The 12,519-nt window shown below is 41.7% G+C and overlaps 1 protein-coding gene across 28 annotated transcripts in view; it reads left to right on the plus strand.

The window, feature by feature from the left end:
• The window catches only part of MLH1 (mutL homolog 1), a 57,381-nt gene extending 46,188 nt beyond the window's left edge, over positions 1 to 11,193 (plus strand). For 25 of the 28 annotated variants that reach the window (XM_047448155.1, NM_001354619.2, NM_001258274.3 and 22 more), the window contains 6 exons: positions 533 to 641; positions 2,615 to 2,678; positions 7,866 to 8,030; positions 8,864 to 8,956; positions 9,251 to 9,364; positions 10,833 to 11,193. In XM_047448155.1, coding sequence (XP_047304111.1) covers positions 533 to 641; positions 2,615 to 2,678; positions 7,866 to 8,030; positions 8,864 to 8,956; positions 9,251 to 9,364; positions 10,833 to 11,000 — 713 coding nt within the window. In that variant the 3' untranslated portion in view covers positions 11,001 to 11,193. The remainder of the gene's footprint in view (positions 1 to 532; positions 642 to 2,614; positions 2,679 to 7,865; positions 8,031 to 8,863; positions 8,957 to 9,250; positions 9,365 to 10,832) is intronic. The other 3 variants (NM_001354628.2, NM_001354630.2, NM_001258271.2) reach the window with 3 other exon arrangements.

Below are 12,519 nucleotides of genomic sequence, written 5' to 3' on the forward strand. Positions count from 1 at the left end.
ACCAATGCTAGAGGTGGCAGTTTTGCTTACTGCCCTTGGAGGGACAGGGGAGTGGGCATGGGCATAGTAGTATGGTTTTCCTTTTCACTGGGGGTGCAGCCCTTGGAGTCTCAGCTTAATGTGTTGGGGAAGTGGTCTCCTATTAGACTCTCCATTTCAAACCATTCCATGATTTTGTCCTCCTTTTGCCACCTTCCGAGCCTGTAAAAACTAATGTTTGTGATTCCTGAGGTTTCTCTAATGTCTTTTAATAAAGTTGACCTCAGAGATCTCGTTACCTCTCTGAGTTCCTGCTTTGTCTTAGATTTTGATCCTTGAGTGTTCTTTAATCTTTTAGCAATTCCTTGTTGCATGTTAAAAGATTAGTTATATTTTATTCCTCATTTGTGTTCGTTTTCACCAGGAGGCTCAATTCAGGCTTCTTTGCTTACTTGGTGTCTCTAGTTCTGGTGCCTGGTGCTTTGGTCAATGAAGTGGGGTTGGTAGGATTCTATTACTTACCTGTTTTTTGGTTTTATTTTTTGTTTTGCAGTTCTCCGGGAGATGTTGCATAACCACTCCTTCGTGGGCTGTGTGAATCCTCAGTGGGCCTTGGCACAGCATCAAACCAAGTTATACCTTCTCAACACCACCAAGCTTAGGTAAATCAGCTGAGTGTGTGAACAAGCAGAGCTACTACAACAATGGTCCAGGGAGCACAGGCACAAAAGCTAAGGAGAGCAGCATGAGGTAGTTGGGAGGGCACAGGCTTTGGAGTCAGACACATGTGGTTTCAAATCCAAGTTCGACCATTTCCCATTTATTTGACTGTAGACAAGTTACATTCCTAAACTATGTCTCAGATTTCTCATCTGTAAGTTGTGGTATTACTAGTTAACATGCAGGGGTTTTGTTTGTTTGTTTGTTTGTTTGTTTGTGAGGGTAAGAAATAACCCAAGAAGCCTAGTCCTTGGTAGTTGCTCAGTGCCCTATAAATGTTGTGAACCAGGTGGTGAGGGTTTGGTGCTGCTAGAGAATTCTGGTATCTGCTCTGTGCAACAGAGTACTGTAGGTGATGCAAGAGAAAGAAGACCTGATGCCTTCTTTCCTCCCAGCTTTGAGAATGGAGCAAAGGCCTACCCCAGCCACCAAGTGAGCCAGTGGGCTTGATCAGCACAGGAAAGGTGACCCCGGCAGTTTCATTTGACTATTGCATGGCTGGCAACATTTCTATTGATTGTTTCCAGGGACCTTGGCGGATGAGCTCCTGTTGAGTCTAGCATCTCTGTTAAATCTGTTCTCAAATAGGTAATGCATATGGGAGGATGCTGCCACCTTGCATCTACTAGACATCACCTATCTACTGTGAGACTCTCCCTCTAAGCCCTGCTGTGGCCTCAGAGTGCTTATTGGCCCTGTGAGTGGGGCAGCCACTATACATTGCATGGAGTTGGTACATGAGATAGAAACCTATTCGCCATCCCTTGAAACTGCCCCAGTCCAGAAGCTTCCTGTTAGCACATGTACCTCCTTGTATGTATTCAGAACTCATTCCATTTAGGCTTGGAAACCCGTTTGGTGCAACTCTGTTCAAGTTCCATTGTCTGCTTTGAGAATGCTTGGGCTTGTATAGTGAGCTGTCACTTTTTAATTTGTTAGGAATTCTACTCGCCTTGCTTTTTCTTTTCCAGCATGTTTAAGGGAATGACCTCCAAGGCCCCAAATCACAGTTGTATTCATGTTCTTTCATTTCACAGATACAATCCAGGCCAGTCCCAGATTTGCAGCTGTTAATAAATGTGAATGGTTTTCCAGTAAGGGGGTAGAAAAACATAGGGAGAGAACCGGGTTCAGAGTTCAATATCTGGATTCAAGTCCTTCCTTTAGCACTTTACTAACTGATGTAGAATAAGTCAGCTACTCAATAGGTGCCTCAGTTTCCCCACCAAAATGCAGACATAGAAGGTGCTTTGTCTGCTTTGATGAGAAGTCTTTAAGCAAGTCTATGGGGTTCAATGTGTTTTAAGAACTATAAAGTACCATATAAATGTGGCCTTTATTCCCATTGTGTTCTTGGAAGTAATTCAATATAGTGTGTACTTCATAGCTGCTTTTGGACTATTGCCAGCCAGTGTATCATCCTAAACTACATGTCAGCATAGTATAATCCTGCCTTAGGTCTACTTTTGATTATTTAGGAAGACTCCCTGCCCTTCCTATACATTTCACATAATTTTTAATAAGTTGTAAAAAAGTGATTTATAGGATTCTTTGTAAGTGGGGGAAGTTAAGCAGACAAAAAGTTTTTAAATCTTACTGCAGAGTGTCAGGAACCTTTTATAGCACCAGACAGGTAGGGACAGAACATGAGTGGCAGCAAGCCAGACTTGGTCTTAGTGCTCTAACCTGTCTGTTAGAGGCTGGCCAGTCAGACCCCTGGTTGAAGACGTTGGGAATCCCAGCTCTTTGGAGGGGTAAGAGATTTTGTTAGACTGTTAACCAGATTCCACAGCCAGGCAGAACTATTTCTGTCTCATCCATGTTTCAGGGATTACTTCTCCCATTTTGTCCCAACTGGTTGTATCTCAAGCATGAATTCAGCTTTTCCTTAAAGTCACTTCATTTTTATTTTCAGTGAAGAACTGTTCTACCAGATACTCATTTATGATTTTGCCAATTTTGGTGTTCTCAGGTTATCGGTAAGTTTAGATCCTTTTCACTTCTGAAATTTCAACTGATCGTTTCTGAAAATAGTAGCTCTCCACTAATATCTTATTTGTAGTATGTTAAATTTTTCTAAAACTTCTAAGGATAGTTGCTGTATTGTATGATTTGCATATGGAGGTATCTATAAGAAGTTTTATACTTTTTAGCAAAATAGTCATTTGGTAGCCAACTTAAACAAATGTTTATTAATATAGAAGTTAATAATATCTACTGATACTCGGCCGGGTGCGGTGGCTCATGCCTGTAATCCCACCACTTTGGGAGGCTGAGGCGGGCAGATCATTTGAGGTCAGGAGTTCAAGACCAGCCTGACCAATATGATGAAACCCTGTCTCTACTAAATTACAAATATTAGCAGGGTATGGTGGTGGGCGCCTGTAATCCCAGCTACTCAGGAGGCTAAGGCAGGAGAATCATTTGAACCCAGGAGGCAGAGGTTGCAATGAGCTGAGATCACGCCACTGCACTCCAGCCTGGGCAACAGAGCAAGATTCCCTCAAAAAAATAAATATCTACTGACACTTAATACTTGGAAAGGGATAAAAATAAACATTGTCTAAAGCCGTGGTCCAAACACAACCCCTGCCAACAATTTTAGTCCATTTCTTCCAAGACTTTTTTTTTTCTATGCCTTTTGTGAAAACTGTCAAAAACTTTTTCAATGCTGAATTTTAGTTCTGAGTTAAAAATCATACTACCTGTTTATATGGTTTCATATCCACTTTTTTCATGTGATATACTCTACAAAAAGCCTGCTGAGATTTTGATTGGGATTATGTTGAATCTAGATCAATTTAGGGTGAAAAACTTTTGTTAGATAAATCCCTTAGTATTTCACATTTTTAAATGCTAAATGGCATTTTTCAAAAATTTTCTTTTTTCTTTTCTTTTTTGAGACAGAGTCTTGCTCTGTTGCCCAGGCTGGAGTGCAATGGCAAAATCTTGGTTCACTGCAACCTCCGCCTCCTGGGTTCAAGCGATTCTCAAACTGCCTCAGCCTCCCAAGTAGCTGGGATTACAGGCATGTGCCACCATGCCCGGCTAATTTTTTAAACTATTTATAGTAGAGAGGGGGTTTCACCATGTTGGCCAGGCTGGTCTTGAACTCCTGACCTCAGGTGATCTGCCCACCTTGGCTTCCCAAAGTGCTGGGATTACAGGTGTGAGCCACTGCACCTGGCCTCAAATTTTTTTTTTTTTTTTTTTTAAGAGACAGGGGTCTCACTCTTGCCTAGGCTGGAGTGCAGTGGCGTGATCATAGGTCACTGAAGCTTTGAACTCCTAGGCTCAAGTAGCTAGGAATACAAGTGTGTACCACTACACCTGGCTAATTTTTTTAAAAAAATTTTTTTCGTAGAAACGGGAGTCTTGTGTTACCAAGGCTAATCTCAAACTCATGGCCTCAAGTGATACTCTTGCCTCAGCCTCCCAGAGTGCTAGGATTGTAGGCATGAGTTACTTCACCCAGCCAAAAAACTTCAATTTCCTATTGTTTATTTGCTAGTATATAGAAATACATATAGTTTTGTACCTTGATGCTGTATCTTGCAACCTTGTTAAACTCACTTACTAGTTCTAGTATATTTTTTGTAGATTCTATCAGATTTTCTATATATGTATCATGTCTTCTGAGAATAAAGAAACTTTTACTTCTTGCTGTGCAAACTGAACACCTTTTCTTTCTTTCTTTCTTTTTTTAAGACGGAGTTTTGCTCTTGTCACCCAGGCTGGAGTGCAGTGGCTGGATCTCGGCTTACTGCAACCTCCACCTCCTGGGTTCAGGCAATTCTCCTGCCTCAGCCTCCTGAGTAGCTGGGATTACAGGCGCTCGCCACCACGCCCGGCTAATTTTTTTGTATTTTTAGTAGAGATGGGGTTTCACCATGTGGCCGAGCTGGTCTTGAACTCCTGACCTCAGGTAATCTGCTTGTCTCGGCCTCCCAAAGTGCTGGGATTACAGGCGTGAATTACTGCGCCCGGCTGCCTTTTATTTCTTTCTCTTGACTGACTGCACTGGCTAGAGCCTCCAATACAATGTTGAATAGAAGTGGTAAGAATGGGCCAGGCATGGTGGCTCATGCCTCTAATCCTAGCACTTTGGGAGAGTATGGTGGGCAGGTTACTTGAGGCCAGGAGTTTGAGATCAGCCTGGCGAACATGGTGAAACTCTGTCTCTATTAAAAATACAAAATATAGTTGGGTGTGGCAGTTCACGTCTGTAATCCCAGCTACTTGGGTGGCTGAGGCATGAGAATCACTTGAACCCAGGAGGCGGAGGTTGCAGTGAGCCAAGAATGCACCACTGCACTCCAGCCTGGGCAACACACACACACACGAAAAACGAAGTGGTAAGGATGGAAATCCTTCTCTTCTTCCTGATCTAAGGGGGAAAGGGGAAAGTTACAAAACATTCAGTATGCTGTTAGCCATATAGGTTTTTTTGTAGATGCCCATTATGAGGTTGAGGAAGTTCCCTCTGTTCCTTATTTGCTACAGATTTTATTTAGGATTGGATGTTGAATTTTTTTCAAATGCTTTTTTTGCATCTACTGAGATAATCATATGATTTTTCTTTTATAGTTTGTTAATATAGTGAATTACATTGATTTTCTTATGTTAAACCAATCTTTGCATTCCTGGGATGAACTCTGCTTGGTTATAATATATAATCCTTTTTATTTATTATGGGATTTGATTTGCTAAAATTTTTATTATAATTATTTTATCTGTGCTCATGATTGTTACTAGTTTATAGTTTTCTTTTAGTCTTTGGTTTTTGTATCAGGGTAATGCTGGCCTCATAGAATGAGTTGGTAAGTATCCCCTCCTTTTCCATTTTCTGAAAGAGTTTTGTGTAGAATTGATGTTAAAATTATTGCTTAATGTTTGGCAGAACTCAACAGTGAAGCCATCTGGGCTTGGAGATTTTCTTCATGGGAAGGTTTTTAACTGCAAATTCTATTTCTTTAATAGTATAGAGCTATTCAGGTTATCTGTTTCTTCTTAGGTAAGCTTTGGTATTTTGTTTCTTTGAAGAAATTTGTCGCATTTAATCTAAATTTTTAAATTTACTGACATAAAGTTATTTATAATATTTCTTATTCTTTTATTATCTATGGATCTCTTGGTGACATAACCTCTCTCATTCCTAATATTGGTAATTTCAGGCTTTTCTTTTTAACTTGGTCAGTCTGGCTAGAGGTTTATCAATTTTATTGATCTTCTCAAAGAACTAACTTTTGGTTTCATAGATTTTTCTATTTTCTATTTCATTGATATCTGCTCTGACTTTTAATCTTTCTTATACCTATTTTGGTTTAATTTGTCTTCTGTTTCACATTTCTTTTTTTTTTTTTTTTTTTTTTTTTGAGACAGAGTCTTGCTCTGTCGCCCAGGCTGGAGTGCAGTACAGTGGTGCGATCTTGGCTCACTGTAACCTCAGCCTTCCAGGTTCAAGCGATTCCTGTTTCTAAGCCTCCCAAGTAGCTGAGATTACAGGCATGCACCACCAGCTAATTTTTGTATTTTTAGTAGAGATGGGGTTTCACTGTGTTGGCCAGGCTGGTCTCAAACTCCTGACCTCAGGTGATCCACCTGCCTTGGCCTCCCAGAGTGCTGGGATTACAGGTGTGAGCCACTGTGGCTGGCCTGTTTCACATTTCTTAAGGTAGAAGCTGAGGTCACGGATTTGAGACCTTTCTTCTTTTCTAATACAGGTGTTAAGTGCTACAAATATCCCTTAAGCACTGCTTCAACAGCATCCCACAAATTTTGATAGTTTGTTTTCATTTTCATTCAGTTCAAAATACCTTCTAATTTCCCTTTTGATTTCGTCTTTGACCTACAGGTTTTTTAGAACTGTGTTATTTAGTTTCCAATCTCTTGAGGATTTTTAAAACAATATGTTATTGATTTCTAATTTATTTCCATCTCAGTCAAAGAACATACTTGCCTTTTTTTATACATTTATTGAAACTTTTTTTATGGCCCAGAATATGGTCTGTGTTGGTAAATGTTCCATGTGTACTTGAAAATAATTTGTATTCTGATCTCATTGAGTTGAATGTTCTAGGTATATCAAGTTGATAGTGATGCCCAAGTCTCCTGTATCTTTACTGATTTTCTGCCTGTTCTGTTATTGAGAAAGGGGTATTGAAACTTCCAACTATAATTATGATTTGTCTGTTCTCTTTGCAGTTCTCTTAGTTTTTGCCTTCATATATATATACATATATATGTATATATATATATATTTTTTTTTTTTTGAGATGGAGTCTTGCTCTGTTGCCCAGGCTGGAGTGCAGTGGTGTGATCTTGGCTCACTGCAAGCTCCGCCTCCCAGGTTCACGCCATTCTCCTGCCTCAGCCTCCCGAATAGCTGGGACTACAGGCGCCCACCACCACGCCCAGCTAATTTTTTGTATTTTTAGTAGAGACAGGGTTTCACCATGTTAGCAAGGATGGTCTCGATCTGACCTCGTGATCCGCCCAGCTTAGCCTCCCAAAGTGCTGGGATTACAGGCATGAGCCACTGCACCCAGCCCATATATTTTAAAGCTCTGTTATTGGGTACATAAACATTTAGGATTGTTATATCCTTTTGATAATGGACTCTTCTATTATGAAAAGATAATATACTGTGGGTTTATAACATATGTAAAAGTATGAGTAACATATTATCAGAAGGGGAGAAATGGAAGATAACTTAGGCATCTTATTTTTAAGCATAGTTTTCCCTTTGTTTCTGCATTAGATGATTTACCTGAAATGTCATTCAATTTAACTTACTCTCCATCCTCACCCGCCCAGCTTTGGTTATGAGGCAGTAGAAAGAAATGATCTGCCTGTGGTTTTCTAGAAATACGAAAGTTGAGTCCTTAAGGCTACACAGAAAGAAAGTACCTCCCCAGGGCTTCACCCTTCCCATCCTTTCAGCAGGCTTTTTGTCTGTCGTATCTTCTCTGTTGAAATGGCCATTGACAAGAGGAGGAAAGGGGTTTTGTTGTGGATTGTTCAGGCACTTCCTTTGGGGTATATGGGGGATGAGTGTTACATTTATGGTTTCTCACCTGCCATTCTGATAGTGGATTCTTGGGAATTCAGGCTTCATTTGGATGCTCCGTTAAAGCTTGCTCCTTCATGTTCTTGCTTCTTCCTAGGAGCCAGCACCGCTCTTTGACCTTGCCATGCTTGCCTTAGATAGTCCAGAGAGTGGCTGGACAGAGGAAGATGGTCCCAAAGAAGGACTTGCTGAATACATTGTTGAGTTTCTGAAGAAGAAGGCTGAGATGCTTGCAGACTATTTCTCTTTGGAAATTGATGAGGTGTGACAGCCATTCTTATACTTCTGTTGTATTCTTCAAATAAAATTTCCAGCCGGGTGCGGTGGCTCATGGCTGTAATCCCAGCACTTTGGGAGGCTGAGGTGGGCAGATAACTTGGGGTCAGGAGTTCAAAACCAGCTGGCCAACATGATGAAACCCCGTCTCTACTAAAAAAATAGAAAAATTAGCCAGGCGTGGTGGCGGGTACCTGTAATCCAAGCTGCTCAGGAGGCTGAGGCAGAAGAATCACTTAAACCCAAGAGGTAGAAGTTGCAGTGAGCCGAGATTGCACCACTGCACTCTAGCCTAGGCGACAGCGAGACTGCGTCTCAAAAAAAAAAAAAAAGAACGTTCCAAGGTCAGGACTAGGCCTCCCCTCAGAAGCAGCAAGTGACATATGTGACATCCTCTCCACTCCCTATTTGCATTTCTAGGTTATATAACTGTACTACTATCCATGCATGCCTACTCTTGTTCCCAGGGTGAAGGACCCAGACATGGAGAGCCGAATCCCTGCAGGCCATTATAAATGAGATTATGCCATTTGCTCCCATTTCTTCTTATTCTTTCATTTTTGGGGCTCTCCATCTTGATGTGTTCTTTGGATCGTGAACAGATCCAAAGAAAAGGTTGTTCTGCCGTGCTGTTTGTCAGGATGAAAAACTCTTTTTTAAGTGTTTAGGTCTGCCCCCAGTGCCCAGCCCAATCAAGTAACGTGGTCACCCAGAGTGGCAGATAGGAGCACAAGGCCTGGGAAAGCACTGGAGAAATGGGATTTGTTTAAACTATGACAGCATTATTTCTTGTTCCCTTGTCCTTTTTCCTGCAAGCAGGAAGGGAACCTGATTGGATTACCCCTTCTGATTGACAACTATGTGCCCCCTTTGGAGGGACTGCCTATCTTCATTCTTCGACTAGCCACTGAGGTCAGTGATCAAGCAGATACTAAGCATTTCGGTACATGCATGTGTGCTGGAGGGAAAGGGCAAATGACCACCCTTTGATCTGGAATGATAAAGATGATAAGGGTGGGATAGCTGAAGGCCTGCTCTCATCCCCACTAATATTCATTCCCAGCAATATTCAGCAGTCCCATTTACAGTTTTAACGCCTAAAGTATCACATTTCGTTTTTTAGCTTTAAGTAGTCTGTGATCTCCGTTTAGAATGAGAATGTTTAAATTCGTACCTATTTTGAGGTATTGAATTTCTTTGGACCAGGTGAATTGGGACGAAGAAAAGGAATGTTTTGAAAGCCTCAGTAAAGAATGCGCTATGTTCTATTCCATCCGGAAGCAGTACATATCTGAGGAGTCGACCCTCTCAGGCCAGCAGGTACAGTGGTGATGCACACTGGCACCCCAGGACTAGGACAGGACCTCATACAATCTTTAGGAGATGAAACTTGCCCATCTCTAAAATTTCGGGATTTCTTTGTACCCAACAAGGTTCAAACACAACAGTCAGCTTTTATTCATGATTTTTACTTCCATCTGCTGATGTAGAACATACCTCCAGAGTGACCTCAGAAATTGTCAAATGTGAAAACACAAGCCATCACAGTGAGAAATGGGAGGTTGAGTTAGATTGTCTAAGGCTGGAGAGTCCATATACTCCCACTGTTAGCTCTGAAGTGTGTAGCCAGTCTTCAGATTCTGGGTCAGTTGCCTCAGTCTCTCTTAGCTTTTGCCTTACTCTTTATCCGACCACTGCCCTGCCAGGAAAACAAGGCTCTATAACTCCTCTTACAGGTCAGCTTGACACAAAAAGGGTGCCTGGATTCCTAATGTTTCATTGTCACTTTTCCCAGTCAGATGATAATGCTTTTCAAATCAACATATATTTTGGGGGAGGTTGGAAGGGAGAGTTGAAATATTCTAAGAATCAAAGAGTAGCCCACTTTAATCAGAGTATGACCCCTGATTGCTCACAGTCATCTCCTGAGCAGTGTGAGCGAGTTTCAGATGAGGAGGCTGAAGGCCAGTCAGGCATGCTCGAGGATTCCAAGTCTGTAGGTGGGAGGGCAGAGATTTAGTCCTGTTGGCCAAAGCCTCTAGGGAATTTCTCACTCCAGTGGAGAAGGCAACACACTTACCAAACTGTGTGGAAACTATCTCATTTGATTAGAAATTTTACCTCAAGAAGAGGAAGGACAGTTGAGAAAGAACATTTTCTTACACATGAGACAGCTAAGGCTTACAAGAAGGAGAGGAATAATGAGGCAAAATAATCCTCATTAATATTTTCATTCCTCCCCTGGGGATTAGAACTACTTTCAGACCCGATTTTAATGGTAAGTTAGGTACTTCCTACAGTTGCCATCCAAATATCAGTCAGGATCAGACATGATGTTAGCTCCTGCTACAATAAAACCATTTTCTCCCTGAATGAAAACAAAGGTTCCACAGGAGACAGTCCCACAGAGCAGTGGCTTCTTTTCCTCCCTTTAAAACCTCATGTTGGCTGGACACAGTGGCTCACACCTGTAATCCCAGCATTTTAGGAGGCTGAGGTGGGAAGATGGCTTAAGCCCAGGAGTTTGAGGCTGTAGAGCTATGATCACACCACTGCCCTTCAGCCTGGGTGACAGAGCAAGACCTTGTCTCTAAATAAACAAACAAACAAAAAATCCTCTTGTGTTCAGGCCTGTGGGATCCCCTGAGAGGCTAGCCCACAAGATCCACTTCAAAAGCCCTAGATAACACCAAGTCTTTCCAGACCCAGTGCACATCCCATCAGCCAGGACACCAGTGTATGTTGGGATGCAAACAGGGAGGCTTATGACATCTAATGTGTTTTCCAGAGTGAAGTGCCTGGCTCCATTCCAAACTCCTGGAAGTGGACTGTGGAACACATTGTCTATAAAGCCTTGCGCTCACACATTCTGCCTCCTAAACATTTCACAGAAGATGGAAATATCCTGCAGCTTGCTAACCTGCCTGATCTATACAAAGTCTTTGAGAGGTGTTAAATATGGTTATTTATGCACTGTGGGATGTGTTCTTCTTTCTCTGTATTCCGATACAAAGTGTTGTATCAAAGTGTGATATACAAAGTGTACCAACATAAGTGTTGGTAGCACTTAAGACTTATACTTGCCTTCTGATAGTATTCCTTTATACACAGTGGATTGATTATAAATAAATAGATGTGTCTTAACATAATTTCTTATTTAATTTTATTATGTATATATTGTGTCAGTTCAGATGCCAAAAAGAGGTCTTGAACATGTCACAGGCTCTGATGGCACTGACCATGGAGAAAGCTTGATTTGATCATCTGGTGTCTACAATAACCAAAGCTAATTATTAAGGAAAAAAACTTGAAGAAAGAAAATAGTCCTTACTTCATCTATAATGAGGTTTTTGTTTTTTTGTTTTGAGACGGAGTCTTGCTTTGTTGCCCAGGCCGGAGTGCAGTGGCGCGATATTGGCTCACTGCAACCTCCGCTTACCGGGTTCAAGCAATTCTCCTGCCTCAGCTTCCTGAGTAGCTGGGATTACAGGCACCTGCCACCACGCCCGGCTAATTTTTGTATTTTTAGTAGAGATGTGGTTTCACGATGCTGGCCAAGCTGGTCTCAAACTCCTGACCTCAGGTGATCCTCCCACCTCAGCCTCCCAAAGTTAAGTGCTGGGATTACAGGCATGAGCCACTGCGGCCGGCATTAAGTATGAGTTTTTAAGTTAGCCCACTTTGTTAATGACTATGAGTACTAATAGCTTAAGATAAAGAAGTTTCTAGGTAATCTTGTTTGAAGGATGATGTAAAAATATAAATTTAAACTGTGAGTGACAAAATAAACTTCCTTAATATTTGCCTACATTTAGAGAAATGGAGCATTCAGCTCAGAAAGGAAGAATGTCTGTGGTTTTAAGGTAAAATCCATATTCCAAGACTCAGTGAAGAAAGTTCAGTGATAAAGAACAGACTACTCTCATCTTATGAAGAAATGGAGCAATTTCACTTGGAAAGACTAGGAAGACAAAATGTTACAGACGTATTTGTTGTGCCACAAAATAGGCAAGGTCAGTTTTGAACAATAAGAACTCCATAAAGTAGACCAGGGCATCTCAGAAGTGAGGTTCCATGAGCCCAGGTGGGGCACAGGCTGGGTGATCTTGAGTGGAGAGGAAGAGGGGTTTTCTGAGCTTCAAGAGCTGGGCCACACAGTGTGTTGGTTTTAGCTGGGATGGAGTTCTAGAACAAACCTGCACTTTAGAACACCTTTCTACCCACCCCCAACCACACAACTTGCTACTATTAGTAAATGTATAGGCTGAGGCACGGTGGCTCATGCCTGTAATCCCAACACTTTGGGAGGCTGAGGCAGGCAGATCACTTGTGGTCAGTAGTTCAAGACCAGCCTGGGCAACATGGTGAAACCCTAACTCTACTAAAAATACAAAAATTAGCAGGGTGTGGTGGCAGACACCTGTAATCCCACCTACTTGGGGGGCTGAGGCAGGAGAATCAAGCTTGAACCCGGA

The sequence above is a fragment of the Homo sapiens genome, chromosome 3 (assembly GCF_000001405.40).
Source record: "Homo sapiens chromosome 3, GRCh38.p14 Primary Assembly".
Taxonomy (NCBI): domain Eukaryota; kingdom Metazoa; phylum Chordata; class Mammalia; order Primates; family Hominidae; genus Homo; species Homo sapiens.